The sequence below is a fragment of the Homo sapiens genome, chromosome 8, assembly GCF_000001405.40.
Source record: "Homo sapiens chromosome 8, GRCh38.p14 Primary Assembly".
NCBI classification, from domain to species: domain Eukaryota; kingdom Metazoa; phylum Chordata; class Mammalia; order Primates; family Hominidae; genus Homo; species Homo sapiens.
The window spans coordinates 57,094,212-57,117,862 of record NC_000008.11 but is presented as its reverse complement, the minus strand read 5'-3'; the positions used below and the strand labels follow the sequence as shown (position 1 = coordinate 57,117,862).

At 36.4% G+C, this 23,651-nt stretch overlaps 1 annotated feature.

Annotated features, from left to right (window-relative positions):
* Positions 9,542-10,128: an enhancer, noted in NCBI's record as "NANOG hESC enhancer chr8:58020294-58020880 (GRCh37/hg19 assembly coordinates)". NCBI's record gives its function as "activates a minimal SCP1, AML or CMV promoter by ChIP-STARR-seq in naive H9 embryonic stem cells {active_cell/tissue: H9 hESC(naive)}" and the evidence as "EXISTENCE:reporter gene assay evidence [ECO:0000049][PMID:30033119]".

The window sequence follows — 23,651 nt, the reverse complement described above, 5'->3', positions numbered from 1 at the left end:
AATGATATTATTCATGATAATCAAGAACTGGAAGCAACTCAAATGTCTAATAACTGATAAATGTATAAACAAAACGTGGTATAACCACACAATGGAATACTATCCAGTCATATAAAGGAATAAAGTATTGATACATACTACTACAACATACTGTGAAAATACTGTGCTAAATGAAAGAAGCCAATCACAAAAAGTCACCTGTTATTGATTCCCTTTATATGAAATATTCAGAACAGGCAAATCCAAAGACAGAAAGTAGGTTACTGGTTTCAAGGACTAAGTGAGTGGGAATGACTGTTAATGGATACAGGGCAGGGCTTCTTTTGGGGGTGATGAAAATGTTATGGAATTAGATAGTGGTGATGGTTGCTTAACCTTATTAATATAATTTAAAAAGCACTAAAGTTTACACATTCAAGTGGTGATTTTATGATATAAGAGTTATAACTCAATTTTTCAAAGTATTTAAAAAAACACCCAAGTCCAGAGAGCTCAGCTGCTAGATGGCCACAACAGAACTAGTCAACCCCAACTCTCCTGTTTCCCCTACCACTTCTCACCCTACCTTGCTCTATTCCTAAAGGGGCCAGAGTCCCTTGCAGCTAGATGAAAGAGAAATGATAGAAGCACAGTGTGGAAAATGAGGAAAGACATTGATTAAGTGCATTCTTCCAGATTGCAACAGGATCAAGCTGAGGGAGAGGGAGAAGACTCAATTTTAAATCAAGATTAAAATTTGATTCTTTCATGGGCTGGGCATTTAATTCTCTAATTAAAACTATCTTTTATGACTTGAAATGCGATATTTATTTCCTAAGGGGTACAGAAAAGTTAGGATATCTACTGGACTTCCCTTGTAGAGACAGGGAAAGAGCCGCACAGAGTATTTCAAAGTACAATGGGAGGCAAAGCTGAATGTGCTACTGATTTCATTCTAAGAATCATGCTTGTTCAATGTGTAAACCAAAAATAAACTTCTAAGCCTCCTGACTGACTGAACGGGCCCCCCTCTTGGCCAAGGGGACCCAAAGAAACCTGAAAACTAGTTAAAGTCATGATGGAATGAGGGTGTCAGACATGCCTCATTATACTCTTCTTTTGGAGTACAGACCCAATTGTCCAGCATATACATGAAAACAGAGATCTGCAAAAAGATATCAAATTCCAGACTGACTCTAGCAAAACATCACATGAAAAATAATGAAGGAAATCAAAAATATTTTACCCCAAAATATGTTTCTTTGCCAAATTTTAAAATGGCCTTGCAAAACCATCTTTTGTGGGGGAAAATTTACATCTGTAAAGAATCTCTATTAACATAATTAGATCTTCCACCTTTCAGGCCCTCCTAATCTTGAAGAGATTAAGAGTCTAGCACCGTTTAAAGGTCTAAATAGGAAATATTTGCCATCTATTGTCTCTAAAGACAGCCAACTATGAGACTTTATCTACATAATTAGAACCTTAGTCTCCACAACCCTTTTTCTCAACCCAGATACTCCCTTGTATTCCAGGTATTTAAATAATAACCTAACTCTTTCAATCAATTGCCAATCAGAAAAATCTTTGAGTCCACTTATGACCTGCAAGCACCCCCTCCCCCACTTCATGTTGTCTGGCACTCCAGACCAAACCAACGTATACCTCATATGTATTGACGGATGTCTTCTGTCTCCCTGAAACATACAGGAACAAGCTGTATCTCAACAAACTTTGGCACATGTTCTCAAGACCTCTTGAAACTGTGCTTTGGGACATGGTCACTCATATGTGGCTCAGGGTAAACCTCTTTAAATATCATATAGAGTTCAGCTTTTTTGTCAACAAATGTAAGAGTTACAAGTGATTAAACAGCAGTTCTTAGAGATTGTAGAGAGATCTAGAACTCCTCATGTAAAGCTAGAAAGGAATAGGGTAATATTTAATGAAGTAAAAAACCTGATGATCCAGCCGGTTCACTTCTGGGTATATATCATAGGAGCTTCTCTGTAAGGGGCTTATGCTCCACAACTGAAGATCCCTTGAGACACTTACAGTAATTTATTTCTACATTTAAACAGTAAAGATCATATATATATTTGTATATATTTGATTTTTAATTATATTTGATGTATGTATATATGTATCTCACCAAGTGGAGACTTGAGAACAGAGTTGGAAGTCAAACATAAAAGAGGATGTCACCTCTCTCCCTGGTGTGAGTGTGAAGGTCATCAATGATGGTTGTACTTTTCACTGCGCTTGGATTCAGACTCAGAATCCTTCTCAACACAAATCTCCTCCAGGTAGCCATTAACAAATGAACATCACTGAGTACAAGATAAAACTTTTCTTGCAGCCCCTGGCTTATAATTTAGTTAAGAAAACAGAACATGCATATGTTAAAAATGCAAGGCAGAATAGTTATACGTCCAATTTGGTAATACAGACTAGCATTGATTCTGGGAGAAGGCCAAGCTGAAGGCCTGAGCAGGAGAGGAAATTGTGTAAGAAAGAACAGCACTGCTCTGGGTGGATTTGTAGGAGACAAAGACAGTAGAGAGCAATACTTTCAGCAGAAATAGCTGGAGCTGTGACGAAGCTACATTTTGGGATCAGCAAGAAGATTGTTTATGAAAGGTGGAAATGGATTGAGTTTCTTTGTTCCCTTGTCTTCGAGACACTGTGGTAGACATAGAGACCTGCCCCCAGACTTCTTTCCAAAGAAAGAGTTGCTGTGGCTCCTTCACAGTTAGCCTCAGCTGTAGAAAGCCCCTTGGCCAGGCAGGAGCATAAAGGTCCAGCCATTTGGGCCTAACTTGGGACATGAGTTGGGTTATCCTCTATTTAGAGCTCCTTGCTGGAGTAGGTGAGGCTTTCTTGGTCCTATATCTGTCAGTGGGCTTCTCCTTCTGCCCAATCCTGCATCATCTCATTTCCTCTCTTCGTATGTATTGATCCCTAACAAACATCTTGCACTCCAAATTCCCTCAGTGCTTGTGTCTAGAGAACTGACCTACAATCCCCACTTTCCCGCATGACTTCCACACCAAATGGGAAGCACACTGAGAAAATGACAGGGAAACTTCTGTTGCACCATCTGAACCAGGAATTACATACTTTCTTCCCTTCATTTTTATACCTCCTATAAGATTTTGCAACATAAGAGAATATTTGCAGTGTTACTTTGTTATCAGAGAATTTTGAATTTGGATGGGGGCGGGGGGGGCAAATGTTTGGATTTCGTTTTAACTATAAATAAATAAATTACGAGGTATACAGACTGTATTTTCACAAGGCTGTTACAACTAGAATAACAGGGCATTAAAGTTCATCTATCAAACCTTTTATCTCATAGCTTCAGAAAGAAAAGGTGGGAGAGAAGACACACTGATTGAAAGTTTACCATGTAACAGCAGTGTTCTTATATTACTCATACACTACTTTAAAAATACATTTGGGGTGAAGCTGCCACTACCGAGGAACAGCAGCGGCTCTCTGGAATGACATAGTCTAATGTGGTCAACATATACAAACACATTCTGTGCACAGCTTCCATCAACCCCCTCACTGTCAGCATTGCCTCCACCCAGGAGACTGCTGGGTCTGCAGCAAATGTTTAAAGCTGAAGTAGTCCAGGCCGGGCGCGGTGGCTCATGCCTGTAATCCCGCACTTTGGGAGGCTGAGGCGGGCGGATCACCTGAGGTCAGGAGTTCGAGACCAACCTCAACATGGAGAAACAACGTCTGTACTAAAAATACAAAATTAGCCGGGCGTGGTGGTGCATGCCTGTAATCCCAGCTACTCGGGAGGCTGAGGCAGAAGAATTGCTTGAACCTGGGAGGCGGAGGTTGTGGTGACCCGAGATCGCGCCATTGCACTCCAGCCTGGGCAACAAGAGGGAAATTCCGTCTCAAAAAATAAATAAATAAATAAAGCACGCTGAAGTAGTCCTAGCAAAGAGTTATAGCCTGTAGCCACCACTCTTTGCCACAAGGGGTCAGCCTTTGCATCTACTGTAATTAAGTAAAAGCTTCCAAGAAAAAATAGAACCCTCCATTTTATGTTTATGAGTTTACTGCAATGTCTTGGTCAAATAAAGATCCATGGAACTGAAAAAACAATAAAAACAAAACAAAAACAAAAAGCACTTACCTTCCACATTTCCTAAAAATTGGTTTACTCTTATGAAATCAAATCATGAATTCTGAGAATGTTAGAACTAGAAGGGATGTTAGAGATTTGAAGAGCACCAGCTGCTTGATTTTCTGCTTTCTTTGTGATGAGCGCAACAGGAACCAAATCACATAGAACATCTCAATGATCCTTTCACAACCAGTTGAGCCAGGTATTGCCACTCCCATATTCCAGATTAGGTAACTGAGCCTTGGAGAGACTAAGTAACTCCCACTAACAAGTATTTATTAAACACAAAAGACATGTCAGCAAGTCAGTGGGCAAGCTGGCTTGACATTGAGGTCTGTCTGATGCGAAAGTTTGTGTTTGTCTGTATATGACCCTGCAGTTCTTTCTTTTACAATATCTGAGAGGCTGAATAAATTGTCCAAAGGAAGAAAGCTCCTTGAAGACTAGAAGATAGAAGTTACCACTTTGCTCTTCAACCACATCAACACCTCCTCAAATGAGTACTAAATAGAGGTGATTACCATCCTTAGTGACAGAAGGTAAGCTATATGGAGTTTATTACAAAACCAGCTTTTAAAAAAATTGAGATGTATCAAAAGAGATACAGATTTCATGGAATGTCTAATTTTCATAAAGTCAACAAGAAAGCTAAAAATTCTGAATAAATTATTTTAGTTAATGTCATTAAAATTTTCATTTCACTGCAGTTTTCCCTCAGAAATGTAACAATATTATTCTGTTGTCTTCTGACCTCTATTATTGCTGTTGAGAAGATTAATGTAAATCTAGTCATTGTATCATCATTTATCTTTAGTTGCTTCCAAGATGTTATCTATGTCATTGATATTTTGCAACCACATTACACTGTGCTGGGTGTCATTGTATTTTTTTATGTATTCTGCTCAGGAGACATTTCATATTTCACTTTATGAATCTGAACCATATAGAACATTTCAGTCATTACTTTTTGACTATAGTTTCTCCTCCATTCCTTCTATTTTCCCCTTCCAGCATTTCTGATGTATACGGGTTCTTCTCATTCTATCACCCATGTCTCTTAACATCACTTTTACAGTTTTCATTTATTACCCCTTGATACTAAAAGCTGTATAATTTTCACGTACTTATCTTTAAGCTTTAATTTTTTGCCATCTCTAATTTGCCATTTAATTGATCCATTTGTTTTCTTAATTTCAAAGACTACGTTTTTAGTTTCTACAAATTCTTTCATTGCTAAATTTATGCCTATTTGTTTTTCATAGTATGTTAATCTTTTCTTAATATACCAGTGCCTTCATTTACATCTTAACCATTTTAAACATGCTTATATTATGTTCTACTTCCGATTGCTATTCTAATTTTTTAATTTCTCAAAGTTCTAATAATGCTCTCATTCATGGTAGATCATTCCCTCATTTGTTGTATATTTTGTAAATTGAGATATGAAAATTAGTAAGGCTATATTTTTCTGTGAGAACCCACTGTGGTTTGTGTTGTGGAATCAACCCCCGTATTAGTCTGCTGGGGCTGCCATTACAAGGTACCACAGAGCAGGTGGCTTAAACACAGACGTCTATGTCTTATAATCTGAGGGCCAGAGTCTGAAATTAAGGTGTTGGCAGAGTTGTTTTCTTCTGAGGCCTCTCTCCTTGGCTTGTAGATGGCGGTCTTCTCCCTGTGCCTTCATACAATCTTTTCTCTATGTGTTGTCTGTGTCCAAATATCCTCTTACAAGGACACCAGTCATGTTGAATTAGAGCCCATCCTAACGACCTCATTTTAATTGAGCTACCTCTATAAAGACCTGATCTCCAAATAAGGTCTCATTCTGAGGTACTGGGGAGTATATGACTTCAACATATGCATTTCGATTGAGGACATAATTCTGCCTATTAACAACCTCCAAAAGCAGTTTTGCTTGTAAATCTGGGCATATCACCAGCCCAAGTGAAATCTGTATGATAGTTTCTTGGCTTGCTTGTTTCTGAATCCACAGGCAGTATAAATAACAATCCTCAAATTCCTGGAGAAGCAAGCCAATAGTTTCTGATTCCAAAGAGGGGGGCCCCCATATCCCTACCCCCTCCATTCACACATCTAGAGCTCAGAAAAAAACCTTAATGCATTCTTTTCACTTCGCTTTTTCACTGGGTGAAAGTTTTTCCTACATCATTTGGAGGTGCATATATCCACGGTCTCTTACTTTGTGTGAATAATTTTACCCCCAAAAAACTATTGGCTTTTTATACTCAGTCGTTTCTTTACTAAGTTTCATATTACATTCCATGTCTTAATTACTAAACAATTATTTTTATCATTACGTGGTTTGTAAGTTTAGACTCCTAAAACTCTGGAAAAACCCCAGCAAAGCCATTTTCTGTGGCATAATAATGTGGAAGTAAAGCAGAACTTGAGGACATACAAAAAAGGCAATTTTAATCAAATAAAAAATAGTGATCCTGTGTAAATTCTAATTACAGGATTAACTGTGACAGACTCAGTTTTGAAGTTAAAAAGCCCAAATAAATATTTCATCGATGACATTTGTAGCTAACTCAAATCTATAAATCTTAGTTCTGAAGAAGGCAGTATAATTTTATCCTCCTAACCAAGAGTGACTACTTCTAGAATAATCTTTTTCCTGATTTTTTTTAAAAAATCAAAAACGATCATGCTGGTGTTCTCTCAAGATACTGAAGTTCAGTGTGACTATGTTATCTTTTTTTTTTATACATTTAATTTTATATTCCAGGATACATGTGTAGAATGTGCAGGTTTGTTAACTAGGTAAATATGTGCCATGGTGGTTTGCTGCATCTATCAACCCATCACCTAGGTATTAAGCCCCTCATGCATTAGCTATTTATCCTGATGATCTCCCTGACAGGCCCCAGTGTGTGTTGTTCCCCTCCCTGTGACCATGGGTTCTCAATGTTCACCTCCCGCTTAGGAGTGAGAACATGCTATGTTTGGTTTTCTGTTCCTGTGTTAGTTTGCTGAGGGTAATGACTTCCAGCTTCATCCATGTTCCTGCAAAGGACATGATCTCATTCCTTTTTATAGCTGCACAGTATTCCATGGTGTATATATAGCATGTTTTCTTTATCTACCCTATCCTTGATGGCCATTTGGGTTGATTCCATGTCTTTGCTATTGTGAATAGTGCTGCAGTAAACATATGTGTGCATGTATCTTTATAATGGAATGATTTATATTCTCTTGGGTATATACCTAGTAAAGGGATTGCTGGGTCAAATGGTATTTTTGGTTCTAGATCCTTGAGGAATCACCACACTGTCTTCCAGAATGGTTGAATGAATTTACATTCCCACCAACAGTGTAAAAGTGTTCCTATTTCTCCATAGCCTCACCAGCTTCTGTGGTTTCTTGACTTTTTAATAATGGCCATTCTGACTGGCGTGAGATGGTATCTCATTGTGGTTTTGATTTACATTTCTCTAAGAGTCAGTGATGTTGAGCTTTTTTCATATGTTTGTTAGTTGCATGAATGTCTTCTTTTGAGAAGTGTCTGTTTATATCCTTTGCCCACTTTTTGATGGGGTTGTTTTTTCTTGTAAATTTGTTTAAATTCCTTGTAGATTCTGGATATTAGACCTCTGTGAGGCAGATCGATTGCAAAAATTTTTTCCCGTTCCATAGGTTTTCTGTTCACTCTGATGACAGTTTCTTTTGCTGTGCAGAAGCTCTTTAGTTTAATTAGATCCCATTTGTCAATTTTTGCTTTTCTTGCAATTGCTTTTGATGTTTTAGTCAAGAAATCTTTTCCCATGCTTATGTCCTGAATGGTATTGCCTAGATTTTCTTCTAGGGTTTTTCATGCTTTTGGGTTTTACATTTAAGTCTTTAATCCATCTCGAGTTAATTTTTGTATAAGGTGTAAGGAAGAGGTCCAGTTTCAATTTTCTGCATATGGCTAGCCATTCATTAACTAGGGAATCCTTTTCCCATTGCTTGTTTGCACCAGGTTTGTGGAAGATCAGTTGGTTGTAGATGTGCGGTCTTATTTCTGAGAGCTCTATTCTGTTCCATTTGTCTATGTGTCTGTTTTTGTACCAGCACCATGCTGTTTTGGTTACTGTAGCCTTGTAGTACAGTTTGAAGTGGGATAACAGTATGCCTTCAGCTTTGTTCTTTTTGCTTAGGATTGTCTTGGCTATACAGGCTCTTTTTTGTTCTATATGAATTTTAAAGTAGTTTTTTCTAATTCTGTGAAGAATGTCAATGGTAGTTTTACGGGAATAGCATTGAACGTATAAATTACTTTAGGCAATATGGCCATTTTTACTATATTGAGTCTTCCTATCCATGAGCATGGAACGTTTTTCCATTTGTCTGAGTCTTCTCTTATTTCCTCGAGCAGTGTTTGTAGTTCCATTTGCAGAGGTCCTTCATGTCCTCTTTGTTAGCTGTATTCCTAGGCATTTTATTCTCTTTGTAGCAATTGTGAATGGGAGTTCATTCATGATTTGGCTCTCTGCTTGTCTATTGTTGGTGTATAGGAAGGATTGTGATTTTTGCACATGGATTTTGTGTCCTGAGACTTTGCTGAAGTTGCTTATCAGTTTAAGGAGCTTTCGGACTGAGATGAGGGGGTTTTCTAGATATAAGACCGTGTTGCCTGCAAACAGAAACAATTTGACTTCCTCTCTTCCTATTTGAATACCTTTTATTTCTTTCTGTAGCCTGATTTCCCTGGCCAGAACTTGCAATACCATGTTGTGCAATACTATGTTGTGCAATACTATAGTATTGTGCCGGTTTTCAGAGGGAATGTTTCCTGCTTAACTATCTTATTTTTCTTTTGTGCACTTTACATGTGCATGAAGAGCTGAAGAGTACTTTGAAGAACGATCAATGTCTATAGTAAGAAGCATGCATGCAAAAAAAAAATTATTCTATGTGCAGCTAACCCTGCTGTTAACAGGAAAAGTAGATGTTATCTTGGAAAATCCTGGGCTGAGGAAAGAGGACACATGTTCAAACCCCATCTCTCACATTGACTAACTTGCTGCATGGCCTTTGATAAGTCACTCCCTCTGAGATTTGATTTCCTCCTCTTAAATAAAACCAGTCTCAGATGGTGGTGGATTTAAAATCAAATCATATATAGCGAATGTCTAAGAGTATATCTGGTGTACAGATTTTTCTCCTCTAGCTCAGCTCTTTAAACTTTACTCAAAATGAAAATTTTGCTCCTGATGGTTGCATATCAAATCAGTCAGTCTGGTAATTCCAGCGTCTATAGCCACCAGTCAACTAACACTGAGAATGCTGTGGCCGTTTCAGATTAAATGTAGTTTATCAGCAAAAAGCACAGATCTTCTTTGAGAATCACAGCCTAAGATCACTTTGAAGATTGCCTTTTTTCTGAAGATGTCTCACTGGCCCTGGCCACATGACTGTAGTGGGCAGAATTCCAAGATGTGTGCCTGTCTTGCACATGTACTGAGAATCCCCTCGCCTTGAGTGTGGAATGGACTATATTGGAGTATCAGTATTATGATTTAACCAATAATCAATTAGCTTTGAGTTCAAAAGCAGTATAATCCTGGATAACACTGGCATAATGAAAGGAGCCTTTGAGAGAAGGTGAAGCATCCAAGACACACTCTCCTGGGGGCCTCAGAGAAGAAAGCAAACAGCCATGGTATAAACCACCTATGGAGAGGGGCTTTGTCTAGGCTGAAAGCCTCAATTGTATCACCACAAAGAACTTAAGTCCACCAACATGAAAATGAGCTTGGAGGAAGACCCCACACTCTAGGCAAGGACGACAGTGCAGCTGACACCTTCACTGCAGCTTTGGGAGACCCTGAGCAGATGACCCAATCAAGCCAGGCCCATTCCTGACCCATAGAAACAGGAAATTAAATGAGTGTTTTTATAAGCACTGAATTTATGACAATTAGTTATTCACAATAGCAAACCACTACAGTGCCCTACCTGTGGGATCCACATGCTGCCCTCAGTGGTAACAAAGGCTCATAACACCTGCACTGTATTGGTTTCTAACGTCTGCGTGAAAGTTGCATATACCAGGATGGAATCCCTTTCATCAGATCCAGAAAATATAGGTCTGGGAAGGCCCAAAAGAGGGAAGACTCATGTTTATGTGTCTGAAATGTGAACCAAGGACTTTCTAAAAACTCTTTCATGTCCTTCATGCATATTTTGTTTGGATAAGCTTTATCACTAGACATTAGAACTGCAGTATTCAGATAAGATTTTCTTAGAACACTTGCCCAGTAAGGGCATCTCCGCCAATGAACTGACAACCAGTCTGGCTTTGAACCTCTGGAACCAATGGACTCTGATTCTAAGCAGCTTAGTAAATCTCTTTTTAGCTGGTGAAAGGTCCCCATACAACCCTCTCACTGAATGGACTGGTGGCTTGCCATTTCGTGCATTTCAGATTATAATCCTTATTTTTACTTCTGAGTAAACCCAACATAGTTAGAGATAATTGTCCCTAGTGTAATTTTTAGATTGTCATTTGTTTATATGGGAGCACAGCAGAACCACTGAGCTGCCCAGGAAGAAGAGCCCTATAGTCCCTTTCAACTCCATACTGTCAAAAAAATATTAAGTTGCGCCGAGTGTTGATTTGGTGCTATGGTTAAATATGCATAAATAGTCTTATATAGAAAAAGGAAAGTAATATTTACTGAATAGATCTAATGAGTCTTCATTTCACATACACTAATTGCTTGTAATCTTCACAAAACCCTCTAAGACAACTTTTACTTTCCCTATGGTTCAAATGAGGTCATTAAACCTCAGAAAGTTTAAATAACTTACCCTATCATATAACTAGTAGGTAATCGAGCCAGTATTCAAATACTGAGATCCCCTGGACAGAATATCCTATGTTTTTTGGTCTATTTTATCAATAGTATGCTACAGGAATGCAGCTGCCAAACAACAGTCCTTAGAACACTTTTGGTCTAAGTTTAAAGAAGGTCTCAAAATTCAAGCAGTTAAAAACTGCTGCATGACCAGTTAAAAGTGCATTCAAGCTTATCTGCCTTCCTTGAATGCTTTCTCATTAATGCCAGGAGTACATTACATTAGGGCATGACAAGATGATGTGTTAGCTTAGTGGATATTTCCTGTTAACATATTCATTACAGTTAATTACAACATCTTTATTTCTTGGCAGATTTTCTGGAAGCCAAAACAGATGGATTGTTTTTTAAAAGAATATGAAAAGCATGTCATGACAATGATTCCTGTGGTGCATTTTTTTCTTTTTAATTTTCCTAAACATAAAATAAAAATATAGATTTCACAGAGGAACACTTTCAGTGCAATACAACTTCCTTTGAACTTCACATAATAGCTTACACTTATTATCACCTAACCAGCCATCTTTGACTTTATGCAATGGGCAGTGTCCATAAGAGTTCATTAAGTGCATCAATTAAGAGACAAGAAAGAAAAATATACTTTGATATATGAATTTATGTGCACTGATGCTGACACTCTTGCTACCTCTTTGTCATTTACAGTTGACCTTGCATACTTGTAGGGAGCATAGGGCATGTCCCATTTGTACCTTTAGAGTTTCAAGAAGTACTGTATCATTAAAATTATTTAAATGATGAGCCAAGAGATCAGTGAAAGAACTGTATTGTACATTTTTAAATGGTAGTATCATTATTGTAATTGTGAAATTTATTCACAATTATTTTCTTTAAAAAATTTTTAAATTATTTTTAAAATGTTTTGTGGGCACATAGTAGACGTATATATTTATGGGGTACATAAGATGTTCTGATACAGGGATATAATGTGAAGAATGGGGTATCCATTTCCTCAAGCCTTTGTCCTTTGAGTTACAAACAATTTAATTACCTTCTTGAAATTATTTAAAAATATACAATTGAGTTATTGTTGACTATAGTCACCCATTGTGCTATCATATAGTAAGTCTTACTCATTCTTTCTATTTTTTATGTATCCATTAACCATCCCCACCTCTCCCTTAGTCCTCTACTACCCTTCCCAGCCTCTGGTAATTTCTTGCTACTCTCTATGTTCATGAGTTCAGTTTATTTGATTTATAGATCCCACAAATAAGTGAGAACATGCAATGTTCTTGTGCCTGGCTAATTTCACTTAACATAATGATCTCCAGTTCCATCCATGTTGTTACAAATGACTGGATCTCATTCTTTTTCTGTTTTTTTTTTTTGAGATGAAGTCTCGCTCTGTTGCCAAGCTGGAGTGCAGCGGTGCAATCTTGGCTCACTGCAACCTCCGCCTCCCAGGTTCAAGCCATTCTCCTGCCTCAGCCTCCCAAGTAGCTGGGACTACAGGGTGTGCCACCACGCCCAGCTAATCTCTGTATTTTTAGTAGAGACAGGGTTTCATCATGTTGGCCAGGATGGTCTCAATCTCTTGACCTCGTGATCCACCCACCTTGGCCTCCCAAAGTGCTGGGATTATAGGCATGAGCCACCATGCCGGTCTGGATCTCATTCTTTTTTATGGCTGAATAGCACTCCATTGTGTATAAGTACCACATTTTCTTTATCCATTCATCTGTTGATGGGCACTTAGGTGTCTACCGAATCTTAGCTATGGTAAACAGTGCTGCAACAAACATAGGAGTGCACATATTTCTTAAATATATTTATTTCCTTTCTTTTGGGGGTATTCCCAGCAGTGGGATCACTGGGTCATATGGTAGCTCTATTTTCAGTTTTTTTAGGAACCTCCAAACTGTTCTCTATAGTGGTTATGCTAATTTGTATTCCCACCAACTGTGTATGAGGGTTCCCTTTGCTCCACATCCTTGCCAGCATGTGTTATTGCCTGTCTTTTGGATATAATCCATTTTAACTGGAGTGAGATGATACCTCATTTTAGTTTTAATTTGCATTTCTCTGATGATCAATGATGTTCAGCAGCTTTTCATTTGCCTCTTTGCCATTTGTATGTCTTCCTTTGAGAAATGTCTCTTCAAATATTTTGCACATTTTTTTGTTTGGTTTATTAGGTTTCTTCTGTAGAGTTGTTTGAGCTTCTTATATATTCTGCTTATTATTCCCTTGTCAACAGCTTGGTTTGCAAACATTTTCTCCCATTCTGTGGGTTGTCTCTCCCTTTTGTTGATTTTATCCTTCACTGTGCAGAAGCTTTTTAACTTGATGTGATCCCATTTGTCCATGTTTGCTTTGGTTGCTTTGGTGCTTGTGGGGTATTGCTCAACAAATCTTTGCCCAGACCAATGTCCTGGGGATTTTCCCTAATGTTACCTTGTAGTAGTTTCATAGTTTGAGGCCTTAGATTTAAGCTTTTAATCTCTTTTGATTTGATTATGGCGAGAGATGGGGTTCTAGTTTCATTCTTTTGTATATGGATATCCAACTTTCCCAGCACCATTTATTGAAGAGGCTATTTTTTCTCCATAGTATGTTCTTGGCACCTTTTTAAAAAATGAGTTCACTGTAGCTATGTGGATTTGTTTCCAGGTTCTCTATTTTGTTACATTGGCCTATGTGTCTGTTTTTATGGCAGCACGATGCTGTTTTGGTTAATATTGCTGTATAGTATAATTTGAAATCAGGTGATGTGATTCCTCCAGTTTTGTTCTTTTTGCTTAGGACAGCTTCGGCTATTCTGGGTCCTTTGTGGTTACATTTAAATTTTAGGATTTTAAAAAATTTCTGTGAAGAATTTCATTGGCATTTTGATAGGGATTGCATTTGATCTGTAGATTGTTTTGGGTATTATGGATGTTTAAACAATATTGATTCTTCCAATTCATGAATTTTTCCATTTTTTGGTGTCCTCTTCAATTTCCTTTATCAGTTATTATAGTTTTCATTATAGAGATCTTTCATTTCTTTGACTGAATTAATTCCCAGGTATTTAATTTTACATGTGCCTATTGTAAATAGGATTACTTTTTAATTTCTTTTTCCACATTATTCACTGTTGTCATACAAAAATGCTATTGATTTTTGTATGTTGATTTTGTATCCTGCAACTTTGCTGAATTTGCTTATCAGTTCTAATTTCTTGTGGAGTCTAGGTTTTTTTTTCCAAATAAAAGATCATATCATCAGCAAACAAGGATAATTTGACTTCTTCCTTTTCTATTTGGATGTCCTTTATATCTTTCTTTTGTCTGATTGCTCTAGTTAGGACTTGCAATACTATGTTGAATAACAGTGGTGACAGTGGACATCTATGACATGTTCCATGTCTCAAAGGAAAGGTGTTCAGTTTTTCCCATTCAGTAAGTTATTAACTGTGGGTCTGTTGTATATGACTTTTATTATGTTGAGGTATGTTCCTATTATGCCCAGTTTTTTGAGGATTTTTATCATAAAGGGATGTTGAATTTTATCAAATGCCTTTTCGGTGTCAACTGAAATGGTCATATGGTTTTTATCCTTCATTCTGTTGATTGTATCACATTGATTGATTTGCATAGGTTGAACCATCCTTGCATCCCAGGAATAAATCCCACTTGGTCATGATGAATGATCTTTTTAATGTATTGTTGAATTCAGTTTCTTAGTATTTTTGCTAGTTGAGGATTTTTGCATCAGTATTCATTGGAGATATTGGCCTGTAGTTTTTCTTGTTTGTTTTTGTTTTTGTTTTGATGTGTCTTTGTCTGGTTTTGGTATCAGGGTAATACTGGCCTTGTAGAATAAGTTTGGAAGTGCTCCCTCCCCCTGGTATTTGAAGTAGTTTAAGTAGGATCGGTATTAGTTCTTAAATGTTTGGTAGAATTCAGCAGTGAAGGCATCGGGTCCTAGACTTTTCTTTACTGGAAGACTTTTTATTCTGGCTTCAATCTCATTACTTGTGATTGGTCTGTGTTGAGTTTGGATTTCTTCCTGGTTCAGTCTTGGAAGGTTGTATGTGTCTAGGAATTTGGCCATTTCTTCTAGATTTCCAAAGTTATTGGCATATAGTTTCTCATAGTAGCCACTAAAGATCCTTTAAATGTTGGCCGTATCAGTTATAATGTCTGCTTTTTCATTTTTGATTTTATTTATTTGGATCTGCTCTCTCTTTTTTCTTAGTCTGACTAAACATTTTTCAATTTTGTTTAACTTTTCAAAAAACCAACTTTTTGTTTCATTGATCTTTTGTATTGTTTTCTTCATTTTAATTTCATTTATTTCTGCTCTGATCTTTATTATTTATTTTATTCTCTCTAATTCTGGGTTTAATTTGCTCTCACTTTCCTAGTTCCTTAAGATGCATTGTTAGAATCAGCAAGAAAACAAAGAATCTCATCAAAAAGTGGGCTAAGGACATGAATTCTCAAAAGAAAATATACAAATGGCCAATAAACATATGAAAAAATGCTCAACATCACTAATGATCAGGGAAATGCAAAACAAAACCACAATTTGATACCACCTTACTGCTGCAAGAATGGCCATAATCAAAAAATCAAAAAATAATAGATATTGACATGGATGTGGTGATCAGGAAAAACGTTTACACCGCTGGTGGGAATGTAAACTAGTACAGCCACTATGGAAAACAGTGTAGAGATTCCTTAAACAACTAAAAGTAGAACTACCATTTGATCCAGCAATCCACTACTGGGTGAGGTAGAAGAAGTCATTATATGAAAAAGATACTTGTGCACGCATGTTTATAGTAGCACAATTCACAACTGCAAAAATATGGAAACAGCCAAAAGGCCCATCAATCAGAGAGTGAATAAATAAATTGTGATATATATATATGTATATGTATATATACATATATGTGTGTATATATAAAATGGAATACTACTCAGTCATAAAAATGAATGAAATAATGGTATTTTCAGTGACCTGGATGGGACTGGAGACCATTATTCTAAGTGAAGTAACTCAGAAACGGAAAACCAAACATTGTATGTTCTCACTGATATGTGGGAGCTAAGCTATGAGGATGCAAAGGCATAAGAATGATACAAAGAACTTTGGGGACCTGGGGGAAAGAGCGGGAGTGGGTGAGGGATAAAAGACTACACACTGCATATAGTGTATAGTGTGATGGGTGATGGGTGCACCAAAATCTCAGAAATCACCACTAAAGAACTCATTAGGTGTAACCAAGCACCACCTGTTCCCCCAAAACCTATTGAAAATTTTTTTAAAAGATGCATTGTTAGATTATTTAATTGAAGTTTTTCCAGTTTTGTGATGTTGGCACTTACAGCTATAAACTTTCTACTTAATACTGCTTTTGCTGTATCCCGTAAGTTTTGGTATGTTGTGTTTCCATTATCATTTGTTTCAATAAATTTTTCAATTTCCTTCTTAATTTTTTCACTGACCCACTGGTCATTAGAGCATATTGTTTAATTTCCATGTATGTGTACAGGTTCCAAAATTCCTCGTTATTAATTTCCAGTTTTATTCCACTGTGGTCAGAGAAGATGCTTGATATTATTTATATTTTTTTAATGTTTTAAAACTTTTTATGTGACCTAATATATGGTCTATCCTTGAGAATGATCCATGCATTGAGGAAAAGAATGCATATTTTGCAGCTCTTGAATGAAATGTTCTATAAATATCTGTTAGATCCATTTGATCTATAGTGCAGATTAAATCTGAAGTTTCTTTGTTGATTTTCTGTTTGGAAGATCTGTCCAATGCTGAAAGTAGGGTGTCGAAGTCTCCAGCTATTATGGTATTGGGACCTATCTCTGCTGTTATCTCTAATAATATCTTTTTTATATATCTGGTGCTCCTGTATTGGGTGCAGGTATATTTAAAATTGTTATATCTTCTTGCTGAATTGACCCCTTTATTATTATACAGTGACCTTCTTTATCTCTTCTTATAGTTTTTGTCTTGAAATCTACTTTGTCTAATATAAGTATAGTGACTCCTGCTCTTTCCTGTCAAAACTAGAAGGAGAGTGTCATGAAGAATTTCAAAGTATTGTGATGGAGTCTGGGAGAAAATGTATGATTAATAAATATGGGGAGGGGCTTGGCCTTAAGCCAGGAGACTTGGGTTGTATCTGATGAGTGATAGGAACATACAAAATAAAGAATATAAGAAAGATTTATTTGGAAAGGTGCATATAATGGCCTGGATGACCCAGAAGAGAAAGTTTAGTTAAAACACTGTTGTGGGCTCAGCAGCTTCTAGCTTGAAAGCATGTCTTTCATACTTAATCCGTATAACCTCTGCACAAAACCTGGAGTAACATGCAAATGCTTACATATTTACTGAGTGACTTAATATTTATTGGTAGACTTAAATGATAGCCATTGAAAAAGAACAATTTCATGCTGGGAAATCAGTTGAATTTGACAAAAGCCTGGATAAGGGTTAGGAAGTTCAGAGAAGTCACATAAGGCTATATGTTCGAAGCTCTGAAATTGGAAATCAGGAAAAACATGAGCCATTGAATAAATGAGTGAAATGGCTGTATGAATAGTAAAGGTAATGCTACCTGCTATAATGAAAACTCCCAGAACTCAAAAATATAACAATAAAAATTTAAGTGTCAACAAATGTTAACAAAATAACATCCAATAAGGATTATATGGGGAGGGGCAGTTAGAAAATGTCCAGTTCCCATGAAGCTATCCAGTGACTCAGACTGGCAGAGATTCTTCTATCTTCCACGTGTGGCTGCCAAGATCATCCTCAGCCTCCATGCAGCAGAGATCAAGAATCATGTGGGAGGTCTGATTGGCCATGCATATACCACTAACATTCTACTATTTTATCTAACACATGCAAAAGAGGCTGGCAAGGGGAATCTAGCTGAGTGGCCGGGAGGAAAAGGAAATGGTTTGTGGAACAGCCCATTCTTCTCTGTCAGGCTGGCTAAACAGGCCAGCAGATTTTCCCTACAAGAAATGCTAACAGGAGTTCTTCAGGCTGAAATGAAAGAACACCAGCAGGAACTCAAAGCCATTAGAGGAAATAAAGAACACCGGTAAAAGTAACCACATATAAGAGCCACTATTATTGCACTTTTGGTTTGCACTTTTTTCCTATATGATTTAAAGTGCAAATGCATAAAACAATAATTATAAATCCATGTTAATGAGTAGCCAATATATAACGACATAATCTGTGACAATAACAATATAGAGGGGAGGAAAGGAGATGGGGCTGGGCACAGTGGCTCATGCCTGTAATCCCAGCACTTTGGGAGGCCAAGGTGGACGGATCACGAAATCAGGAGTTCAAGACCAGCTGGCCAACATGGTGAAACGACATCTCTACTAAAAATACAAAACTTAGCCTGGGGTGATGGTGGGTGCCTGTAATCCCAGCTACTCGGGAGACTGAGGCAGGAGAATCACTTGAACCCAGGAGGCAGAGGTTGCAATGAGCTGAGATCGTGCCACTGCATTCCAGCCTGGCCAACAGAGCAAGACTCTGTCAAAAAAAAGAAGAAGAAAAAAGAAAGAAAGAAAGAAAGAAAGAGAGAGAGAGAGAGAGAGAGAGAGAAAGAAAGAAAGAAAGAAAGAAAGAAAGAAAGAAAGAAAGAAAGAAAGAAAAAAATGGATAGAAGAAGAATGTTTCTATACTATTGAAACTAAGTTGGTTATAAATTGATTTATTATTAAAACTAGGTTCTACAAGTTTTGCTACTTATGAGGCAGAAATTGGCAGAATGATCAAAAAAAAGATCCATCTACATATTGTTTGCAAAAGAGTCATTTCAAATACAAAAACATGAAAATTTTGAATGAAAACAATGGACAAATATATTTCATGCAAATTGCATCCAAAAGAGAGTTGGGTGGCTAAATTACTATCATACAAAATAGAATTCAAATCAAAAAGTTTACAAGAGTCAAATAAAGACATTATATATTGATAAAAAGTGCCCTACCTCAAGAAAATATAACAATTACATACGCATCTAATGACAACACCCCCTAAACATAAGAATTGAAAATTGACAAAATTGAAGGGATAGTTTTACAATAATATCTGGAGACTTCATTACTCCATTTTCAATAGTGAATAGGATAACCAGACAGAAGATTAATAAGGGTACAGGACTTAAACAACACATAGACCAATTGTATCTAAAACTCGGGAGAGCACTTCACTCAACAGTAGCAGAGTATACGTTTTTCTCAAATGCACATGGAACATTCTTTAAGATAGATCGTATGTTAGTCCACAAAACAACTAAATAAATTTAAAAAGATTGAAATCATACAAAGTTTTTTTCTGACTGCTGTGCAATGAAACTACCATCAATAACAGAAAGAAAACTTTTGAAAAACTCACAAATATGTGGAAATTTAAAAAACACACTCTTAACATTAGATCAGAGAAGAAATCACAATGGAAATGAGAAATAAATTAAGGTAGAAACGAACCATAAACCACCATAACCTACTCAGGAAGAATAGGGTATATGAATAGACCTAAAGTAAATAAAGAGATTTAATCAATGACCAAAAACCTCTTAACAAAGAAAAACTCAAGACCAGAAGGTTTTATTGGTGAATTGTACCAAACAATTAAAGAAGAGTTAACACCAATCCTCAAACGTTTCCAAAAATAGAAGAGGAGGAAACACATCCTAACTCCTTCTGTGAAAATAGCACTATCCTAATACAGACAAAGCCTTAACAAGAAAAGAAAACTACAGACCATTATTCCTATGAATATAGATGCAAAAGTCCTCAAAATAATAAACTGAATTCACAGATTATTGAAAGGATTATACACTATGACCAATTGGGATTTTTCTCAAATAATATTTGCAGTCAGAGCAAATATGCAGGAAAGAGAAGTAAAAATATCCAAATTGGAAGTCAATCTTATATGTAAAAAACTGTAAAGAATACACACATATGTACATACATACACACAAAGCTGTCAAAACCAATACATGAACACATAAAATTTCAAGATATTAAATTATTACACAACTAATTTAGTCGGATTCCTATATACAATAAATTGAATGGAGATAAAAAATGATTGCACTCACAATAACCTAATAAAAATAAAATACTTAGGAATACATTTAACAAAGGAGGCATAAGACTTGTATACTGAAAACTATAAACCATTGTTGAAAGATATTAAAGAAGGCTTAAATAATTGGAAGACTGAAACCTGATTCATGAATCAGAATCATATATCATGATTTTGTTCATATATCTGAAAAGGGGTTAATATCCAGAATATATATAAACTCCTACAGCTTAATAATGTGAAGATGACAATATTACTCAAATAATTGACAGATTTAATGCAATCCCTATCTAAATTCCAACAGCATTTTTGGTAGAAATAAAGAAACCCATTCTAAAATTTATATAGAATTTCAAGGGACCCTGAACAGCTAAAACAATTTTGTAATAGAACAAAATAGGAGGTCTCAAATTTTCTGATTTCAAAACTTAATATAAAGCTATAACTTAAAAAAGCAATGTGGTACTGGCATAGGGATGGACCCATAAACCAATGGAATAGAATTGAGGGCCCAGAAATAAACCCTCAAATCCATGGCCAATTGATTTGTGACAATGATGCCAAGATCCTACAGAACAGTCTTTTCAACAAATGGTGCTGAGACAACTGAATCTTTACACGCAAGAAAATAAAGTTGGACTCTTACCTTATACCATACACAGATACTAATTCAATATGGATCAGAGACCTATATTTGAGAGCACAAATTATTAACTCAGAAGAAAACTGGGGCAAATCGTCATGATCATGGATTTAGCAATGTTTTTAAAATATGATATTAAAAACAGGCAACAACAACAAAAAAGATAAATTAAATTTCATCAAAATTAAAAAATTTTATCTATGGAAAGACACTATAAAGATAGTGAAGTACAATCCACACAATGGGAGAAAATAATTGCATGTCACATATCTGATAAGGGGTTAATATCCAAAATACATATGAACTGTAAGTCAACCACAAAATACAAAAAAAGTAAAAAATGGCAAATAACTTGATACAAATGGCTAAGGAGCGGCCGGGCGCGGTGGCTCACGCCTGTAATCCCAGCACTTTGGGAGGCCGAGGCGGGCAGATCACGAGGTCAGGAGATCGAGACCATCCTGGCTAATAAGCTGAAATCCCGTCTCTACTAAAAAAATACAAAAAATTAGCCAGGCGAGGTGGCGGGCTCCTGTAGTCCCAGCTACTCGGGAGGCTGAGGCAGGAGAATGGCATGAACCCGGGGGGGCGGAGCCTTCAGTGAGCCGATATGTCGCCACTGCACTCCAGCCTGGGCGACAGCGAGACTCCTTCTCAAAAAAAAAAAAAAAAATGGCTAAGGAGCACATTGAAGGATGCTCAAAATCGTTAGTCATTAGGGAAATGAAAATCAAAACCACAATGAGGTATCACTTCATACCAACATGTATGGTTATAATAAAAACCATAGAAAGAACTAGTGTTGGTGAGGATGTGGAGAACTTGGAACCTTTGTATACTGCTGGTAGTAATGCAAAATTGTGTGGCCACTGTGGAAGACAATTTGCTGGTTTCTAAAACTGTTAAATATAGAATTACTGTATAAGCCAATAATCCACTCCTTGATACATACCCAACAAAATTGTAAACAAGGACTCAAGCAGTTACTTGTATGCCAGTGTTCCTAATGGGATTATTCACAATAGCCAAAAGGTAGAAATATCACATGTCCATCAACAGATACATGAATAACCAAAGTGCACTCTATATGGAGTATTATTCGGCAATAAAAAGAATGAAGTTCTGACATGCAACAATATGGATGAACCCTGAAAAATTACATTAAATGAAATAAGCCAGATGCAAAATGACAAATATTATATGACTCCATTTATATTAAATACCTAGAATAGGCAAATTCATGAGAAAGAAAGTAGATCAGAAGTTGCCAGTGGCTGAAGAAAAGGGAAAATGGGGAGTCAGTGGGTGGAGAATTTCTATTTGAGACAATGAAAATATTCTGTAAATAGAAGGTGGTAATAGTTGTATAACATTGTAAGCATTCTTAATGTCACTGAATTGTACTCTAAGAAATTGTTAAAATGATACATTTTATATATATTTTCCCACAAGCTTTTTTAAAAAGACACACAAAATGCAAGCATTTTTTTTATTATTCAATTCAACAATCACAAATGTTTCTAACACTAACTCATTATGGATCAGTGACCATTATGGATCAGTTAGTGACAGTTCACTAACCAGCATCATTTTTGGGACCACTTTGAGTAGCACCGATCTGGAGCAAGATATTTCATCTCAATAAGCCTCAGTTTCCTCACATATAAATAATAAATAATTATACTGTTTACCTCCTCTGGTTTTCATGGAATTAGATAATGCATGGAAATGACTCAGTCCTGTGCCTGGTACAATGATCATTAGCTTTTATTTGATGATGTTTGTGCCTACTTGTATGTTGCATTCTAAGTTTTAGGGAATTGATATATATTTTTGCTGATTTTTCAGATTTGTAGGCTCAAAAACTGCTTCAGCCATTCTATTTAATATTTGCACTGTACCCTGCATTTTATAGTACATACTATACTGCATGGTACTTATTTTATATACATATATGTGTGTGTGTGTATATATATATATGTGTACATACAGACTACACATTTATTGAAAGCAAGGATTGTGCTACCCCATGGGTAATTACCAATGCTCAGCAAAGTTTCTGCCATGGAATAGCCCTCAGTGAATGCTTACTAGACACAGTTCATGAGCCCCGCCTCCTCATCTGCACTCAATAGTACTGAAAACAATCTTCTACTCTGAAGAGGCCCCCAAATACACATGGATAATCTAACCATAACCTCGATTTAGAATGGTTGTCATCTTTCTACAACAGTTTGGTATTATCTAAAGTGTGGCATTAAAGATCAGTCATTTAGAATTTGAGTCATCCATGAAAAAATGCCTGGTAGCATATTACACTGAAGCTCCTTTCATTCCCATTACCAAATAGCAGAGAACATTAGCCACCTATGCTTAACTTCCCACCACAGTAAGCATGGCACAGCCTTCTACATGTCTCCTGAAGATTACTATGGACAATAGCAAAGTTAAACTAAGCAATACCACTATGTGGTTTGGAAGTTGCTTATTCATGGAGCCTGAAGACTAAAAAAAATTCTGCCAAAAAAAAAAAAAAAAGATTTTATCTACCCCCATTCACAGTTCAACCTTGTACCTCACAAAAATATAAAATAAATTCAGCAATAATAATAAATCATACACAGACCCTAGAAAAATTAGTCTCAGGGAATATAGATAATGCAGGTGGGATTAAACTCAACAAAGTTAATTTGCGTATATAGAATATTGACAGAAGTGAATGATTCATGAAATCAAATATGGCAAATTATTAATATTTAATGAAAAAAAACTAAACTAGATGTCCTTAAAACAAATCAATAAAACTCTTCCTTTAATCCTCCAGTGGAAGATAGATAAGGCGAATTGTCACCTTTTAAAACTATAAACATTTGGAAATCAGAAAGAAAAAAACAAATTTCCTCTTTGTTATTTTTTTTTT